Below are 21,023 nucleotides of genomic sequence, written 5' to 3'. Positions count from 1 at the left end.
GCTCTTTAGTTTAATTAGATCCCATTTGTCTATTTTGGCTTTTGTTGCCATTGCTTTTGGTGTTTTAGTCTTGAAGTCTTTGCCCATGCCTATGTGCTGAATGGTATTGCCTAGGTTTTCTTCTAGGGTTTTTATGGTTTTAGGTTTAAAATTTAAATCTTTAATCCATCTTGAATTAATTTTTGTGTAAGGTGTAAGGAAGGGGTCCAGTTTCTATTTTCTGTATATGGCTAACCAGTTTTCCCAACATCATTTATTAAATAGGGAATCCTTTCCCCATTGCTTGTTTTTGTCAGGTTTGTCAAAGACCAGATTATTGCAGATGTGTGGTGCTATTTCTGAGGCCTCTGTTGTACTCCATTGGTCTATATATCTGTTTTGGTTAGTGCGTACAATGCTGTTTTGGTTACTGCGGCCTTGTAGTGTAGTGTAGTGTAGTGTAGTGTAGTGTAGTGTAGTGTAGTGTAGTGCAGTGCAGTGTAGTGTAGCGTAGCGCAGCGCAGCGCAGCGCAGCACAGCACAGCACAGTACAGTACAGTACAGTATAGTATAGTATAGTATAGTATAGTATAGTATAGTTTGAAGTCAGGTAGCATAGCGTGATGCCTCCAGCTTTGCTTTTTTTTTTTTTTTTTGCTTAGGATTGTCATGGCTATATGGCCACTTTTTTGGTTCCATATGGAATTTAAAGTTCTTTTCTCTAGTTCTGTGAAGAAAGTCAATGGTAGCTTGATGGGAATAGCATTGAATGTATAAATTACTTTGGACAGTATGGCCATTTTCACACTATTGATTCTTCCTATCCATAAGCATGGAATTTTTTCCATTTTTTAGTGTCCTCTCTTATTTCCTTGAGCAGTGGTTTGTAGTTCTCCTTGAAGAGGTCCTTCACATCCTTTGTAAGTTGGATTCCTAGGTATTTTATTTTCCTTGTAGCAATTGTGAATGGGAGTTCACTCATGATTTGGCTCTCTGCTTGTCTATTATTGGTGTATAGGAATGCTTGTGATTTTTGCACATTGATTTTGTATCCTGAGACTTTGCTGAAGTTGCTTATCAGCTTAAGGAGTTTTGGGGCGAGACAATGGGGTTTTCTAAATATACGATCATATTGTCTGCAAACAGAGATAATTTGACTTTCTCTCTTCCTATTTGAATACCCGTTATTTCTTTCTCTTGCCTGATTGCCCTGGCCAGAACTTCCAATACAATGTTGAATAGGAGTAGTGAGAGAGGGTGTCTTTGTCTTGTTCTGGTTTTCAAAGGGAATGCTTCCAGCTTTTGCCCATTCAGTACGATATTGGCTATGGGTTTGTCATAAATAGTTCTTATTATTTTGAGATACGTTCCATCAATACTTAGTTTATTGAGAGTTTTTAGCATGAAGTGCTGTTGAATTTTGTCGAAGGCCTTTTCTGCATCTATGGAGATAATCATGTGGTTTTTTTCATTGGTTCTGTTTATGTAACGGATTACATTTATTGATTTTCATATGTTGAACCAGCCTTGCATCCCAGGGATGAAGCTGACTTGATCATGGTGGATAAGCTTTTTGATGTGCTGCTGGATTCGGTTTGCCAGTATTTTATTGAGGATTTTCGCATCAATGTTCATCAGGGATTTGGCCTGAAATTTTCTTTTTTTGTTTTGTCTCTGCCAGGTTTTGGTATCAGGTTGATGCTGGCCTCATAAAATGAGTTAGGAAGGATTCTCTCTTTTTCTAGTGTTTGGAAAAGTTTCAGAAGGAATGATACTAGCTCCTCTTTGTACCTCTGGTAGAATTCTGCTGTGAATCCATCTGGTCCTGGGCTTTTTTTGGTTGGTAGGCTATTAATTACTGCCTCAATTTTAGAACTTGTTATTGGTCTGTTCAGGGATTCTACCTCTTTCTGTTTTAGTCTTGGGAGGGTGTATCTGTGAGGACACTTTTAGATAGTTCTGAAGCACTGCTGAACTCTCTTTATCCATGGTTATTATAAATATTATTGCTGCTGTCTTTAATACCATATTTGAAGTCCTTTCTAAAACAATTTCATTTTATTTACTTTTTGAGATGAAGTCTCACTTTGTCACCCAGGCTGGAGTACAGTGGTGCGATCTCGGCTCACTGCAACATCCGACTCCTGGGCTTAAGTGATTCTCTTGTCTCAGCCTCCCAAGTAGCTGGGATTACACGCATGCACCACCACGCCCAGCTAATTTTTGTATTTTTAGTAGAGACGGGGTTTCTCCATGTTGGCCAGGTTGGTCTCAAACTCCTGACCTCAAGTGATCCACCCCTCTCAGCCTCCCAAAAGTGCTGGGATTACAGGTGTGAGTGACCATGACTGACCTCTAAGACATTTTAAATATAGATATTAAGAAGGAGGCAAAAGGCAGGCCCCAAATATGGGTTATTCCCCCATACGTTTTGGGAATATGTTGAATAAGCATTTTTATAATGTGGCTCCTAGATAATTTATACCTGAATCACCTTGGTTCCAACTGTTAAATCAAAATTTGTTAAAAAGGTAGACTTCAGAGACTCACTTCTGACCTATTAAATCACAATATATCTTGGTGGCCAGGAATCTGCATTTTAAGTTGCTTCCTAGATTACTTTTGTGTGTGCTAATATTTGAGAAACACTGCTCAGCAAGGACTAAAATATCTTCCACAAGAAAGCTGAGTTTGCCAGTGATTACAAAACAAGCTCAGATCTCAGAGCCAATTTCAATCATCGTTTCTAAATAAGAAAAGCCAGCATAGAACATTCTAGGATTTAAATTATCATAATGTTGGCTGACACAGATGATGACAGAGCCAAGATGATCAAGGACAGAAAAAGAAAAAAGCAAGACATGCTTTACTTGGACATCAAACCATTCAATATTTTATTTTTGATGTGTGTGTGTTGTGGGTGTGTGTGTGTATAAATCTCACCTCTACCACTTCCTTTGTCATCACATTTTCTAATTCAACCCTCCTCTACCCTTCAAATAACCTACTAAACAAAAGCCAGCCTAGCCTTTATGATAATTCAAAGTGATATAATAGCATCCTCATCACATGGCTGCTGTGAGGATTCAACAAGTTAATGCACATGAAGTGTTCAACCCTTTTCCTAACACCCAGAAGGATAAATCAATGCCAACAATTGTCAAAAGCTAACATAACCACTGACAGACCCCTGGTATTCCTAGGCTCTCAATATAATCCCACAGAGAGCTAAGAAATTGAAGGCCATGATATACATCACCCAAGGAAGACTGTGCGTGGATGATGCAGGTCTAAATACAGACTCTATCACTAGTTAATGTTACGGTGCAGCAAGCTTCAACTTCCTCAAATGTAAAATAGGTATATCATGGTATCCACCAGGAAATGAGTTAGGAATGGCAGGCCACCCAAGCTCACCCTATCCCATGGAGTATTGCCAGGGTAAATGACACACAGCCCAACTCTACCACTACTACCACCCAGCACACCCACTCACAGAAGGTTTTAAGCCAAATGTAAATCAGTGGATAACTTGTCTACTTTTGCCTCTTATAGACACGGCCTTGGAGTCTCCTCAAAGAACAAACCATCCATCAGTTCAGAAAATGACAGTGTTCAATTTTAAAGGGTCTATCTTCCCCCTCACAGGGATGTGGTCAGGAAGAGAGAGAGAAAAGAGGGGGGAAGGGACTAAAATGCCTTAAGCCCTCAGAAAGAATCTGCTACAATGTTTTGCATATGCTATTATGAATTTAAATAACCAAAGGCTGACCAAGACAACATCCCCTTCAATTTTGGTATGAAAGATCTGAGCAAAGCTGAAAAAAGGACTATTGGATGGCATGAAGAGTTCTTCCAAAGTACTAGTGGAAGTGGCATAGTAAAGAGAAAATAGCACGCTGTGTTTTTTAAAATACAGGTCACAACCCATTAATGAATTATAAAATCAATTTTAGTTTATTTTTAAATAGAATAGAATAGAATAGAATAGAATAGAATAGAATAGAATAGAATAGAATAGAATAGAATAGAATAGAATAGGACAGAACAGACTAGAGCATCACACATCATAAGGATATTTTTAAGGGTTTGTTTCAGTTTGCATGTGTATTTGGGTCACAATGTAATATTTTTTAGAGTGAATTGTAGTGGAAAAGTTTGAAAAGTGGTGTAGGAGAGAGCTAACTGCTCTGAAAGCACAGGGAGTTTGAATACAGGCTCTATCATTAGTTAATGTCATGGCGCAGCAAGCTTCGACTTCCTCAGAGGTACAAATGAGACTAACACCGGCCGGACGCGGTGGCTCACGCCTCCGTCTCAAAGTAAAAAAAAGAGACAAAAAAAAAAAAAATGAGACTAACACCTACGAGAAGTATTTGGAAGTCAAGCAGGTTCATTTATGTAAGTCCCCTTAGCACAGCGTCTGCCACAAAACAGTCACCTAATAAATGTCAGTTTATTTCTCTGTTCCATGTAAGGTATCATGCATGTAAATAGATTCAGGCATCACAACAAAAGCCATTTAACTTCCCTCAGCCTTATTTATTTATTTATTTATTTATTTATTTATTTATTTATTTTGAGACGGAGTCTCGCTCTGTCGCCCAGGCTGGAGTGCAGTGGCGCGATCTCGGCTCATTGCAAGCTCCGCCTCCCGGGTTCACGCCATTCTCCAGCCTCAGCCTCCTGAGTAGCTGGGACTACAGGAGCCCGCCACCACGCCCAGCTAATTTTTGTATTTTTAGTAGAGACGGTGTTTCACCTTGTTAGCCAGGATGGTCTCGATCTCCTGACATTATGATCCGCCCGCCTCGGCCTCCCAAAGTGCTGGGATTACAGGCGTGAGCCACTGCGCCCGGCCACCTTAGCCTTATTTCCTCATTTTGAAATAAAAGGGTTGAACCAAATGTCCCAGTGGTTTACCTGCTCTGAAATTGTCATTTAATTAAAATGGTCATTCCATAAATGCATCAAACAGATTTTCATTGAAATGTATTGCAAATCTCAAGTGACAAATAGATTTCTTTTTTTAATTAAACTTTTTGTTTTCAGGTAATTGTAGATTCACATGCAGTTGTAAGAAATAATAGAGAGAGATTCTGTGTATCCTTTACCCAGTTTCCCCCAGTGGTAACATCTCACAAAACCATAATACAGTACAATATCTCAACAGGGATATTGACTTTGCTACAATCCACCAACCTTATTCAGATCTAGGTTTCTTCACAGGTGCCAACTGTGAATGATCAGTAATAGCCGATTAGAGTACAAGCTTTGATGCTGCTTTGAGTCCTGCTTTAGAAGGAACAAATGTTTTCAGCAACTAGCAATGTCTGCCACTGGCTCATGATTGGGAGCAGGGAGCATGTTTGCTACGAATGTGTTTACTCTGAAAGCAAAATGCTCTCAGATTTAAATTACTCACTTAGAGCTCATGCTTAGTGAAGTGTAGTTTTTTCTCTTTTTATATAATATATTATAAACGTTTGAACACACTAAAATCCAAAGAAAATGTGCCAAGTTATCTATCAGAAAACTATATGAGCAGTTCCAATATGTATTTAGGTAGATAACCCAGTCTCAGCAGAGAGAATATGCCTTCATATAATCAACTATAAAATTATTTTAGGCACCTTTGAATAATTGAACTTTTTCATGTTGAATGCCTGAATTGTTTTATGCTAAAGGATGGGGGCAACCTTATAGGAGGGCAGCTGTTTGCTACACTTTTCTACCCACTTTTTGTGAAATCATAAGATGTGTCAATGTAATAGAAAACTGAATGAAAAAATTTGGAAAGGATAGTCAATTTAAATAAATCATTTTCTCAAAAATCTTCTTAAAGTAGGCCTAACTATAAGATATTAGTTATAGGATCTGTTGCTTTCTGGGAATTTAAATTTTGTATTGGACTTCCTAATACTTACTTTTGGGTGTCTGAGAATTACTGTTGAAGAAGGCTGTTTGGTATAGTAGAAATGATACAGAGCTTTGCCTATTTTTGGGTTTTGGTTTTGCAGTTTGCTATCTTAAATTTAAAAAACTATCCATATAGGCCGGGCGCAGTGGCTCACGCCTGTAATCCCAGCACTTTGGAAGGCTGAGGCGGGCAGATCACAAGGTCAGGAGATTGAGACCATGCTGGCTAACGCGGTGAAACCCCATAGCTACTAAAAAATACAAAAAATTAGCCGGGCGTGGTGGCGGGCGCCTGTAGTCCCAGCTACTCGGGAGGCTGAGGCAGAAGAATGGCGGGAACCCGGAAGGGGGAGCTTGCAGTGAGCCGAGATCGCGCCACTGCACTCCAGCCTGGGCGACAGAGCGAGACTCCGTCTCAAAAAATAAAAATAAAAATAAAAAAACTATCCATATAAAGCACATAATACAGTGCCTGGCATATAATAAGGATTAGATCAATGTTAGCTGCTATGGTGATGATGATTCTTAGCTTTGTGTATTTTAGTAAGCCATTTAAACTTTCTGAACCTCGCTTGTCTCATTTGCAAAGGGGCATGACTAATAAGAATGCCTTTTATGCCTACTTCACAAAGTTATTATGAGAATCAAATATTATATGTGTAAAAATATTTTGTAACCAGAAAAGAACAATAGGCATGTTTGTTATTACTGATACTGAGTCTTTCCTTTTCCCTACAGAATAGGTAATTACATATCAGTGTCCTGGAGTCCAGCTCTGATATGGTTCACAAGGTAGACACTGCTGAATGCAAGCCCACGGTAGTATTTTTCAGTCTGCTGGCTCCATGCCCCTTCCTTCGACCCCCATCTCCTGCCACTACTGCTTCTGTTACCTCCTCCAAAGGATCAGTGAATTGAGCACCTCTATTGGGACCACAGCCCTCCTCTGATCTGGTGGTGGGGTGGGAGGGTGAGAGCAGCAGGCTGGCAGAGAGAGAGGAAATGCATGCCGGCACCTGATCCAGGGACAGGGGAACTTCAGGCAAATTGACATGCTTACATGGAGAATGTTTAAAAGACACTGTACTATACCCAAAAAGATATCCTGGAAAGTAAATTATTTCTATCTAAAATTTAAACTGTCAAAGTAAAAAACATAAATCAATATCTCAGTGATGCATGCAGTCGAGGAAGGCATTATTTCACACAAAGTAAGCTAATTCTTGGATCTCTTTTTTTTTCCCACAAAACACTCTCTCACTTTTGTCAAAGGATGTGTTTTCTGTGGGAGAAACAGATGAGGCAAGAATCAGTCCCTGCAAGAGAAAGCTGGCTAAATTTGGGAGGCCTGGGTCTTCACTCACTTGTAAGAGAAATTTACCATCCTTTCTGTTTTTTCAGGGACATAATTATGTCTGTATTTTGTCTAAATTGATGGCTGCTGTATTGGAGGAGGCAGGAAGCTATACCACAGTCATCTTCCAAGTTTGAAGATATGTGATAATGTCACCAACGATACCCAAATTGCAAACAGGAAGGGATTAATTCACTCTTCAGAAATGTTGGTGTTGTTTTCGGCAGGTCTATTTTTCATCATTATCTAAAATCATGTCAGAGGATAAAAACAGTAAAAGGATACAGATGACTGTACAAACTTTGGCTTAGTCAGCACAATATAAAATTGCATGTCTAAAAGGATTCTGATTTGCACTATAAAATCTATATAGGAGAGTTTTAAACAGGCACACACAAAAATAGCAGAAAAGAACATTCTTTTAAATAATTTAAAAACCTTAAATGTGAATTACAGATTTTATTTAAAAAAATACCTCATGAAACATAAGAAAACAAACTTCTCTGTCCTGTAATGAAATAAGAACAGTTTTAAGGTATGACCAGGTCTCTTGATTAGTCACTGTCAAGGAAAGATTAAAACAGAATTTTGATAGACATTAATCAGTGTAAAAGTGAATGACCCTAAAGGACCCTACTCAGTAGATCACTCAACTACTTGAGATACATTGTACAGAAAATTCAAGGTGGCCTTCATTCAGGCACTCTTCTTCTTTGAGCCATTCTTCCTTTCATGCACTAGGCACACTATTGATGCCATTATCATTCAGATCCTCTCTTGTGGGTTTGTCACATTAGGAAGTGGAACTCTGGAGTCTCCATCAAGTTCCCGTGCAGACATCTGTCCAAATCCATAGGCTCTCTTCTGAGGACAGAGGCTTTCTGCTATGTCTGCTGATATGAACAAGAAAACTGTCTGGATCTCTAATTTTCTTAAGAATTTTTAAAAATCTTTGCCCCCTGCCAGGTGTGGTGGCTCAAGCCTGTAATCCCAGCACTTTGGGAGGCCGAGGCGGGCAGATCACTTGAGGTCAGGAGTTTGAGACCAGCCTGGCTAACAGAGAAACCCCACCTCTACTTTAAAAAAATTTAAAAAAGTTAGCTGGGCATGGTGGCGTGTGCCTGTAATCCCCACTACTCGGGAGGCTGAGGCACGAGCATCACTTGAACCCAGGAGGTGGAGGTTGCAGTGAGCAGTGATCGTGCCACTGCACTCCAGCCTGGGCAACAGAGCAAGGCTCCATCTCAAAAAAAAAAAAAAATCTTTGCCCCTTTTTATTTGGTAACTAAACAATATATCATCAATCAATTACACACAATAGCTGTACTTCTAACCCTGGACAGAAGCCTCAATTTAGAAATGACTATGACCTACTAAATGTCTGGTTGAGGAAATGAGACTGAGAAAGTCCAAGGAGCATGTTACATTTCCGGGGCTCTGGGTTGTTTTATCCTTGAATAAACTGAGGAAAGTAACCCTACCTCAACTGAAAATAATAGTTAGAATTTACTGAGAATTTAGTATGTGCTAAGCACTAAGAGCTTTACATGGATGAACTTACTTGGGTCTCACAACAATAACATAAGGTGATAACTATTTTTATCCCTGTTTCACAAACGAGGAAACTGAGGCACAGGAAGGTTAAATGCCTTGCCTAGGGCCTGATTTGTAGGTACTAAAGTCAAGATCCCAGGCAAATGGATTTGAGTACACCAAATCACACATGTCTTGCTAAATACCACTCTCCTCTGAAAGAAATTAGAGCTCCTTGGAGAACACCTCTTTCCTCAGGAAAGGCATTGATTGGCTAATTCTAGGACTGAAGGCAAAAATAAAAAACACAAGATGAGTCTAGAATATCTTTTTATATCAGAAAGAACATAAATACTAAAGAATGACGGGTGGCCAGGCGCGGTGGCTCACGCCTGTAATCCCAGCACTTTGGAAGGCCGAGGCGGGCGGATCACGAAGTCAGGAGATCGAGACCATCCTGGCTAACAAGGTGAAACCCCGTCTCTACTAAAAATACAAAAAAATTAGCTGGGCGTGGTGGCGGGTGCCTGTAGTCCCAGCTATTCGGGAGGCTGAGGCAGGAGAAAGGCATGAACCCGGGAGGCGGAGCTTGCCGTGGGCCGAGATCGCGCAACTGCACTCCAGCCTGGGCAACAGAGCAAGACTCTGTCTGGAAAAAAAAAAAAAAAGGCAGTTTCTTGAGGCTGGGCACGGTGGCTCACGCCTGTAATCCCAGCACTGTGGGAGGCCAAGTGGATCACAAGCGGATCAAGAGATCAAGACCATCCTGGCCAACATGGTGAAACCCTGTCTCTACTAAAAATAAAAAAATTAGCCAGGAGTGGGAGGCGGAGCTTGCAGTGAGCCCAGATCGTGCCACTGCACTCCAGCCTGGGCGACAGAGTGAGACTCCGTCTCAAAAAAAAAAAAAAAAAAAAATTAGCCGGGCGTGGTGGCGGGCGCCTGCAGTCCCAGCTACTTGGGAGGCTGAGGCAGGAAAATGGCGTGAACCTGGGAGGCGGAGCTTGCAGTGAGCCGAGATTGCACCACAGCACTTCAGCCTGGGCGACAGAGCGAGACTCCATCTCAAAAAAAAAAAAAAAGAATGATGGGCATGATGGGCACACATCCAGAAGGTACAAAAGCCAACTTGAAAGGGCTCTCACTGACCAAGATGGGAACAATTTTTAAGTCAAAATAAATAATGGTATTAATGAAGTATGACCCATGATGAAACAGAAATCCATGAGTCTATACTGATATAAATAAATTAAGGAATAAGTAAATAAATGGAGGAGAAGACAAAGTTTTTTCTTACAGAATGTCAGCTATTAAATGTGAAAAATAGAGAACAACCATTATGCAACCACTATAGAGGGGGCTGATCAAGACAGAAACTGTTAATGGATGCCATAGCTGGTGAGTGGCGATTAGATGAGGTACAGTATCAGAATAACTACCCCCATACATCTCCCAAATACTGATCAATTATAAAGGGAAAAATGGTGACTTTAAGATGGAGAATTCTGGCAGAGAGCAACGTGAGCAAGTGATCCAGGTTACCAGCACTAGCAATAGGATAGGTTAGCATCACCGGCCTCCTGACATGATGCACTGAGAACGGTTCAGCATCATTTCCATGGTATCCCTGCCAACAATGCGTGTCTTGAGGCTGATCATGAGAACACATCAGATGGACCAAAGCTGAGGATCATCCTACAGAATCTAAGGCTTCTATTTTTTAAAACTGTCAGGCATATGAAAGGCAAATAAAGAGTGGGAACTATTCCAACTTGGTGTCTTAACAGAGAAGACAACTAAATGCAACACTTTTTCCTGAATAGAATCCTGAATCAAAAAGGAAAAAGAGACATTGTAGGGCTATTTAGTGAGATTTGAACAGGATCTTCGGATTAGATAGTTATGTTGTATCAATGCTGACATGTTTATTTGACAAGTTATAGGCTCTATTATGTGACAGTGTCATTACCTTTGTGATACACTGGAATTTGCAGGGGTCATGGAATGTCATTTCTGCAACTTACTCTGCAAAGGTTCAGAAAGAGACTGATGATTAATGGAGTGTAGATGATGAAGCAAATGCAATAAAATGTTAACATGTGAGGAATCTGGGTGAAAGAGATATAGCAGTTTTCTATTTATTTATTTTTATTATTATTTATTTATTATTTTAATATTCATTTGTTTTTATTATTTATTTGTATAGCATTCTTTTACCTGTTCTGGCAACTGTTATGTAAATTCAAATTGTTTCAAAATACCTGTGTACAATTTAAAAATAGAAACATCTTCATTGTATTGTTAGAATCTTAAAACCATTTGGTGGAAAACAAAAAACTCAGGTAGTTAGTTACATTGCCACTCAACACTATGTTAGCAAACGTTTTTCTACTGAATTGATCAGTAGGGCATAGAAGCAGACTCCCTGCTACATAAAGTAACAGAAGGTTAGATTTAGTTTTCCGTATTTACCTCTTAACATAAATTTCTAACTTTGAGTCAAATGGTGTGTCTAGTTTTGAAAGACAATTCAAACAACTATAATTATCTATCTATGAAAACACTGTTTTTCTATGAGAATACTCTTTTTATGGGAAGCAGTTAGTGTGATGCCATCTTAAAACATAAACTAGAGGCATAGAACACAAAAAGCAGAATTTTATAACAAGTCATTCTGGAGTTTAGACATAACAATTGAAACCACAGTCGCAATATGTGATGTGAACCTGCTCTTTCTTCTGACATGAATAGCTTTCCTTACACACATTGACCTCATTACATGGTCTGTCTTTTTCAATTTCATTTGCTTATAATGTTGCAACAGTTGAACTACACTTCAGGTTTTATTCATTCATTCATCCTTTCATTCAGCAAGAATTTAGCAAATTGCTAATATGTTCTGAAGGTGTTAAAAATATGCCACCCCAAAATATGCTGCTCTGACATATTGAAGTTAAAGGCACTTAAAAAAAGAACAGCAGATGCGAGATCACTCTAACCTTCATGCTATTTCTTAAAAACAGGAGACAAAATTCTCATGTAAAAAAGTCCTCCCTGTACTAGAAAAGAAAGCAACATTCTTATGGTCAAGGATGGGAAGTTGAAGCCAAGGAACTCGGCACAAAACAAACCCTGTTACGCAAATCCTTATTTTCCCAGCCACTTCTCTACCCAACTGACTAACCTAGCCCAAGGCCCTTTACCTTACCACTTTGTTGCAATTTACTACTCTTTGTCCAATTCAGTATGTAAGTGTTTGGCTCTGCTTCTTCAAGTTTTAATTTACTTATGAGGGCTCAAATGCCACAAAAAGTTTGTACTAAATACATTTGTATGTTTTTCTCCTGTTAATCTCTCTTATGTCAATTTAATTCTCAAGCCCAGTTGAGACCCTAAGAAAATAGTAGAGTTTTGTCACCCCTATAGTTTATAGCAACTTGGAAAGGTCTTTTATTATTATTATTACTATACTTTAAGTTCTGGGGTACATGTGCAGAATGTGCAGGTTTGTTACATAGCTATACACATGCCATGGTGGTTTGCTGCACCCAACAACCCGTCACCTACATTAGGTATTTCTCCTAATGCTATCCCTCCCCTAGCCCCCCATCCCCTGACAAGCCCTGGTATGTGATGTTCCCCTCCCTGTGTCCATGTGTTCTCCTTGTTCAACTCCCACTTATGAGTGAGAGCATACAGTGTTTGGTTTTCTGTTCTTGTGATAGTTTGCTGAGAATGATGGTTTCCAGCTTCATCCCTGTCCTTGCAAGGAACATGAACTCATCCTTTTTGATGGCTGCATAGTATTCCATGTTGTATATGTGCCACATTTTCCTTATCCAGTCTAATTTGGGTTGGTTCCAAGTCTTTTTTATTGTGAATAATGCCACAATAAATATATGTGTGCATGTGTCTGTATAGTAGAATGATTTATAATCCTTTGGGTATATACCCAGTAATGGGATTGCTGGGTCAAATGGTAATTCTAGTTCTAGATCCTTGAGGAATCGCCACACTGTCTTCCACAATAGTTGAACTAATTTACACTCCCACCAACAGTGTAAAAGCATTCCTATTTCTCCACGTTCTCTCTAGAATCTGTTGTTTCCTGACTTTTTAATGATCACCATTATAACTGGTGTGAGATGGTATCTCATTGTGGTTTTGATTTGCATTTCTCTGATGACCAGTGATGATGAGCATTTTTTCAGGTTTGTTGGCTGCATAAATGTCTTCTTTTGAGAAGTGTCTATTCATATCCTTTGCCCACTTTTTGATGGTTTTTTTTCTTGTAAATTTGTTTAAGTTCTTGTAGATTCTGGATATTAGCCCTTTGTCAGATGGATAGATTGCAAAAATTTTCTCCCATTCTGTAGGTTGCCTGCTCACTCTGATGATAAGTTTCTTTTTAGAGTTACAAAGAAGCATGTAACACATTACTCTTGCCTATGAGCACTGTAATTTTGTTAATAAGCTCTCCTCAAAATATGTCAGATACGTGTCCCCAGCGCACCCTCTCAGATATCTGCATTTGGGTAGAGGAGAAAAACCAATGATATCCAATACTTTGGACTGTGAGGTTTGCAAGTTGCTAGAGACTTCTTGGGATCTGAATGTATGTAGAAAGTGAGTTTTAAAGAGAGAGAATTCCTGAAACAGTTTTTATCTAGTGTTAACAAAAGAGTGCTTTTCTTTTTAGATCTTTTTTATTTAATTTATTGGTCCAATGGGTTAGAATATGAGCGAGAGTGGCATTAAAGAACGTGTGTCAGCCCCATAGTATAATACATTTGATTTTTAAAAGAAGGAAGACTCAACCACAGTAGTGTCACTCACCACCACAACCTACAGTGCCAGACCCCTCCCCAGTGCTCCCATCCCCTCTTCACCCACCCAGCCAGTGGTGAGACAGAGCAGCCCACTCTTCCACACACACCTGTAATCAAACAGAGGAGCAAAACTGGTAACATGTGGTACTTCCGGCTGCATTTGGGAGAGGCTAGAGTTCTCTTGGGTCTTTGACAGAGTTGGAAAATGAGTGAAAATAGAAGGAAGGCTGTCTCTGTGAGATACTCCTGGTGTAGTAGGCAGAATTTTGGTCCCAGTGACATTTGACCCCTGGCATTACAAGCCATGAATATGTAACTTTACATAGTGAAAGAGACGTTTCAGATGTAATTAAGGTTATGACTCAGTTAAACCTTAAAACAGGAAGATTATCCTGGAGTACTTGGGTGGGCCCAAGGTAACCACCTGAGCCCTTAAAAGCAGAAGACAAAGTCAGAGAAATTCAAAGGTGAGAAGGGTTTGATACACCATTGCTGGCTTGAAGATGGAAAGAGCCACAGCCAAATAATTCAGAACCTCAGTCCCAGGTTCACAGCAAGGAACAGAATCCTGCAATAAGCTGAATGAGCTTGGATGTGAATTCCTCCTCAGATCCTCCAGAAAAGCATGCCTTGATTCTGACTTGTAAGACTCTAAGCAGAGAATACAGCCATGCCATGCCAGTCTTCTGATGTACAGAACTATGAGATAATAATTGGGTGATGGTGTACATCTGTGATAATTTGTTACACAACAATACAAAGCAATACTAAATTTAGGTATTGAGGTTGTCACTTTATGTGGTAAAAAGTAATGAAATAGACTAGAGGCCTAAAATAATAATCATATTCTACTCCTACTGCTTAAAACATTATCAGGATCCAGAAAAAGTCCACATGGTAGAGGTAATGCTGTGGTTTGCCAATGCATTCTCCTGCTGGGAACACATGTCTCAGCTATTCACATAACTAGGGTGGAACAATGGGGCTGAGTTCTGGTCAAAGAAATGTAGGCAAAAGAGATGAATGCACAGGCCGGGCGCAGTGGCTCACACCTGTAATCCCAACAATTTGGGAGGCCGAGGTAGGTGGATCGTGAGGTCAGGAGTTCAAGACCAGCCTGGCCAACATGGTGAAACCCTGTCTCTACTAAAAAGACAAAAAATTAGCCAGGTGTGGTGGCAGGCACCTGTAATCCCAGCTACTCTGGAGGCTGAGGCAGAGAATTGCTTTAACCCGGGAGGCGGTGGTTGCAGTGAGCCGAGATTGTGCCACTGCACTCCAGCCTGGGCAACAGAGCAAGACTCCATCTCAAAAAAAAAAAAAAAAAAAAAAAAAAGAGAGATGAATGCACTTCTAGATAGATCTGGCCAGAAATTGTCCCACGCAATCTTCCATTTTCTCTCTCTTCCTTGTTAGGGGCTGAATGTTTGTTCCCCCAAAATTCCTATGTTGAAATCCTAACCACCAATGTGATGGTATTTGGAGGTGGGACCTTTAGGAAGTGATTAGGTCATGGGAGTGGAGGCTTCGTGAATGAGATTACAAAAGGGACCCTGGAGATCTCTCTTATCCTCTCCTTCCACCACGTTAGAATACAGCTAGAAGTCCACAACATGAGAAAACGGCCCTTGCCAGAACCCAGGAAAAGGGCCCTCGCCAGAACCCGACAGTGCTGACACCCTGATTTTGGACTTCTAGCCACCAGAACTGTGAGAAATAAATGTCTGTAATTGAAATAATGGCATTCGCGGTGACCTGGATGAAATTGGTGACTATTATTCTAAGTGAAGTAACTCAGGAATAGAAAAACAAACATTGTATGTTCTCACTCATAAGTGGGAGCTAAGCTATGAGGATGCAAAGGCATAAGAATGATACAATGGACTTCAGGGACTCTGAGGAAAGGGTGAGAGGGGGGTGAGGGATACAAGACTACACATTGGGTACAATGTACAACTGCTTGGGTGATCAGTGTACCAAAATCTCAGAAATCACCACTAAAGAACTTATTCATGTAACCAAACACCACCTGTTCCCCCAAAACCTATGGAAATAGAAAATAAAAATAAAATAAATTAAAAATATTTAAAAAGAAGAAAGAAATATCTGTTCTTAGAAGCCACCTAGTCTATGTACTTTGCTATAGCAGCCCAAAGGGACTAACAGGCTGAATGGAATCTATGATAGTAAAAGCAGAAGGGGGAGAGACCAGCATAAGGTTGCCAGCTTGACACTTTACTCTCCATTGGTGTCACTATTTCAAATAAGGAAGGATATGTTGACACCAAATTAATAGGAAAGGTATTCTCTCCTTCAGAAATGACAGTCCCTCTCAAGGAGAACAGTTGACAACCCCATGTGATACATACATATCACACTGTCCTTATCTTTTTCATTTTGTTTTTTCTTCCATTATTGAAATCATCATGGACTAATTTGGAGACACACTTTGGGAAACCACTGTACTAGGGAGAAACCTCAAATAACCACTTATGGTATGGGGGGCAACAGAGCTTCCTGACACTTCGCCAGAGTCAGATTTTCATAAAGATAATGAACCATAACCCATCTATGCCAGAGGTTGCAATTTTGTGTGTGTGAAAAATCAGACCTGGCGATGATCTTGAGCAGTAGGATGTAAATAACTCCCACATGCTTAGCGTTCCAAAAATGGAACACTAGGCATAAATGGCTAAGATGCAGAGCACCCCCTGCCCTAACTTGTACGGCCCCTTCCAGAACTCTGGGAGGGCCCTAGCAATATATTCAGATAGTCATGTTTTTATGAGATCTTCAAAAGCAGGCTATTTTAGCCACAATTTATTCAGTCCTCTGTCCCTTTCCACTCTGACTTCCCCTATGTCCGCTGATGCTGGAGTAACCACAGGCACTTTTGGAAAATAGCAAAAGTGAAAGGTGACATGGGGACATTTTCAGTTTGAGTTGAGTGGGCTATACTTCTGTGGTTCACAGTCGTTTCCGTGTATAGTAAAGTCATTGCTAACTGTTCCAGTGTAGAAACGGCTTCCAGGAATACTTCTACCCCCCACTGTGTCAACTCACCTGGCATCCTGAAGTTGTAAGGACAGAGCCAGTTCAAGAAATGAACATCTCTTATGGCAATTGGTACTGGAAGCATGTGGATAGTCAATGAGAAACAAAGTTTGAAATGTATGGAAACAGAAGTTAGTCTGTACAAATGCTTCCCACATCAGCCATGTGAAATGTAGTGGAGGATTCAGTTCTCATCTCTACCTTGTCCAAACTGAAGTTCTGTCCTGTCAGGATTATATACCCAATAAGTTAGGATATACAGTTATTAAAAAAATACAGTTAAAAAAGTTTTTTTCTCTTTTCATAAAAAATGGCATACTTATTATAATAAAGCTCAACTGCAATTTGGCAAGAAGTTTAGGAATGTTTTCTTTAAAAAACAGGGACAAGTTACAAACTTCTGATTTGGTCTCATATAAATCATAGGTTCTTTTATAATTTAAATATTTATTAAGTAGCAGAAAATTTTTAAATAAAAATTAATTGCATATAAAACAAAACCAATACAGATTAAAAATGAAATAAATTGAAATTAATGTTGAGGAAACAAACTGTAAATTTTTTTTTAGATTATACCAACAGCAGTAATTCATTAAAATAATGTGACAAATTTCAAATAGAAGTAACAAGTAAATGCTTGGATTGTTTGAAAATTTAAATAATGGGCCAGGCACAGTGGCTCATGCCTGTAATCCCAAGAATTTGGGATGCTGAGACAGGCAGATCACTTGAGTCCAGGAGTTCAAGACCAGCCTGAGCAACGTGGCTAAACTCCCTCTCTACGAAACATACTAAAAATTAGCCCGGCTTGATGGTGCACACCTATAGTTCCAGCTATTCAGGAGGCTGAGGTGGGAGGATCACTGGAGCCCAGGAGGTCAAGACTGCAGTGAGGCATGATCACACCACTGCACTTCAGCCTCGTCAACAGAGTGAGACCTTATCTCAAAAGAAAGGAAAAAAAAGAAAATCTAAATAATAACGGAAAATAAATTATTGGAAAATGTGTTCCTTTTTTGCTGCTTTGATGTCTACAAAGAGATGGCAATAAACTAATATAATGAGGACCTAGCCATCAAATTAGTTAAAATGTCAATAGTTCAGAGTACTTAGGATCAATCACTGCACAAGGAAAATTTTAATATGAAAGTATCTGAAAGATGTTTTTGCAAGTTTAACAATGTTATAAGCTGATTTGTGTCCCCCCTAAAATTCATAAAGTTAAAACGCCTCCTCAGTACTTTAAAATGTGTCTGTATTTGGAGAAAATATCTTTAAAGAGCTAATTAAGTTAAAATGGAGTCATTAAGATGGGCCCTGATGGAGCATAACAGGTGTCCTTATAAGAAGAGGAGATTAGGACACAAACACACACAGAGGGACAGCCATGTGAAGACACAGCAAGAAGACGTCCTTCTGTGAGCCAAGGAGAGAGGCCTCAGAAGAAACCAAACCTGCCGACACCTTGATCATGAACATCCAGACTCCAGAATTTGTGAAAATAAATTCATGTTGTATAAGTCACCCAGTCTGTGGTATTTTGTAATGGGAGCCCTAACAAACGAATTCAGACAACAGTGCAGAAATTCACTTGACATTTCCAATAACAAGTTGTGAAGCTGGAAGAAATTTCTCAACTATCATCAATAAAAAATAAGCTTCCATCAACCATACTAAATGAAAGACCAGATAGTTATTCTGTTATTTCTATTATTTCCAAATATAAATCAAATGAGCATGAATCTAATAAATGTAAAGTAGAAAGTATTAACGAGCTGTGTAGGTAACCAATTAATAAAAATGTTATTTTTGTGAATTTTTTGTATTTGTTGGATTTGTCCGCTTTTTAAAATTTGTAATTTGTAGTGGTTTGTTTTCTCATTCACCAAAAAATATTTCTCTTCTTGCCTAATTTTGTATCATTTTTCTTACAGAGAATTCCAAAATTGTACGAGCTTCAGGCCCCACAAAACCTGGATCCACCCTCAGATTTCATTTATCTCGCTTCGTGGTGACAAATGAACCTGCTGTTCTTGTCACTCCCCGGGTCCGACTGTACTCCCAAATCTGTCAAGCGAAAAGTTTCAGAAATGTTCGTTATGACTCCTTGGATATTCTTAACTAATAGGGCCTCTGTGAGATCTGTACTACTAAGAAGTTTCACAAGTAATTCTAATATTCAGCCTGGGTTGAAAACCGCCATCCACCATCCACGGATGCTGTGCTTAGGGCCCGTGCTTCTCAGATGGTGGGCCATCACTCATTCTGAGTTGTGAAATCATCTTAACAGGTCCCAATTAGCATTGTTTTAATAGAATGGAATATGTTACCTTGCATCATAAGGTTGGTGTGTTCGTCCCACTTTTGTTTCAATATCTACAATATATATAACTTATACATTGCCTTGGGTAGCGCAATTCTGAATCCTGTGGTCATTAGAAGTTTCACAGCATCAATGTTAAGAATACCTGATGCCCCAAAACTGGTTTAAGTCAAAAAAAGGATGACCTGGTGTTAACTAATTGTAAACAGCCTACTTCCTTATGCCCTAAGGATAACTTTGTTATCGGAGCTGAGGAAAACAACTTCAAAATAGAGAAATTAAGAGCTCACAAACTTTCTTTTTTTGAAGAGATGCTGATTGGGGTGTGTGTGTGGGGGTGTGTGTGTGTGGTTTTTTAAATCCTGGAAATACTAAAATAGTTATAGAAGGAGAAAAGTAACTTGAGATGTAAAAAAATATATTATTTTACTATGGAATGTGGTGGGGAAAGAAAATAGGAGTGTGGAAAAGTTTTCTTCATGCAAGCAAATGTTTCTATCTGTGTACTTTAGAAGGAAATAATAACCGCAGACGAAGGAACACAGTATGAAAGTAAACTGCGTGACCGTTTGTAGGGCACAAAGTGAGTTCTTTCTACTCAAAATAAAATGCTTAAGTTATGCTGTCTGGCAAAGCCCACTGAGTTTGTAATGTGCTTGTACCTGGATATCTTTGTTTCCTGGAGCTCCTAAAAATAAAATAGGATATTCTATGTGACATTTAGATTTAGTCATCAGCTAACCCTGGACTGTTTTCAGCTAGAACCTGCTGCATTTTAATTTGGACAGCAGTGAATCATCTTTTCTTCTAGCATTCATGAGCTGATAATCATGAACTTGGAAGACTTTGAAAATTCAAGGTAGCAAATTTTTCAAAGCATTTTAACAAGTGAGATAAGTGAAATGCATGGGGTGGATAATATTGAGACATTGTTCTATTAGTTGCATTGGTATTTACTGGAGATAGTATTGCAAATGAGTTAAAGCCATGAGCTCAGGAAACAGCCTGCCTGGATAACAGTCTAGCACTGTACTCACCAGCTTCAGGAAGCTGTACCTTAGTTTCCCTGTTTGTATGTGGGGATATTAATGAATACAATTCATGGAGATATTGTGAACATTAAATAATACACACAAAATGCTTAAAATATTTCCTGGCAAGTACTAAGCATTCAACACATTAACTTTAAACACACAGATGAAATCAAAAAAGAGACCTTTATGCTAATTCAGCATTCATCTAACTGTTTTGTCCAGTTTCATTTCCAACATACTGGAAACAAATATTGTCATAAAAAATGAAGCCATTGTTAAAGAGGATCAAGAAAATGATTTTAAAACAATCTCTAACATGATGATTCTTAAGGTGGGGCATTGAGGAACCTGGCATTTCATTTAACAATTCTACTGTTTTCTAATAAATGTTCTGCTAGGTTGCTTTTAATTTAAACATGTTATCAACCTTTTGAAATGTTTAAATTTAAATTAAAAATCTAAATATTTAATTAAATATGTTGTCAATGATTTTATTTATTACTTTGTTAAGGAAAAATTATAGCCTGAGATTATTTGAGCTACCCTAGGATAATTAAGCCAGGAATGACTATTGTAAATAAGCAATGTTTACCGATGGAGGCATGAGTTATGTGGGGCAGGGAGGAAGCAGGAAGAGGAGGTATATCAGAATTACTGGGAAAGCTCTTCCAAAGCACAAATGCCCATGCTCCTCTCTACTGCTCCTTCAGATTAAGAACCACTGATACAAAAGAAAGTAGAAAAACAGAAGTATAATGGCAGACGCCCCAAGTTCTCTAATTTTTAGAATTAACTTTGCCTTTAACTTACAAACTAAGTAATACAAGCCAAATTCTGTGTATGGTGGGAAATCCAGAGCCTTCTCCAATGTTCCCACAGTTTGCTGTAAAGAGGACTTACGTTCTCCTAGATGCCAAATCCCTGCTCCTGCAGAATTCCAAATCCCCACTCACTATCTATCCCCCTTCCTCTGTCCCCACTCCACTATGCGGGTAGCC

At 39.2% G+C, this 21,023-nt stretch overlaps 1 long non-coding RNA gene across 1 annotated transcript in view; it reads left to right on the top strand.

Moving 5' to 3' along the window:
* Positions 1-19,077, top strand: part of DMP1-AS1 (DMP1 and DSPP antisense RNA 1) — a 164,356-nt gene extending 145,279 nt beyond the window's left edge. Inside the window, exon 4 of the long non-coding RNA NR_198971.1 lies at positions 18,603-19,077. This is a non-coding gene — a long non-coding RNA (DMP1 and DSPP antisense RNA 1). The remainder of the gene's footprint in view (positions 1-18,602) is intronic.
* Positions 19,078-21,023: the final 1,946 nt, after the last annotated feature.

Source organism: Homo sapiens, chromosome 4, assembly GCF_000001405.40.
Source record: "Homo sapiens chromosome 4, GRCh38.p14 Primary Assembly".
Lineage (NCBI taxonomy): Eukaryota > Metazoa > Chordata > Mammalia > Primates > Hominidae > Homo > Homo sapiens.
Note: the sequence above shows the minus strand (reverse complement) of the source record. Positions and strands in the feature narration are given on the sequence as shown.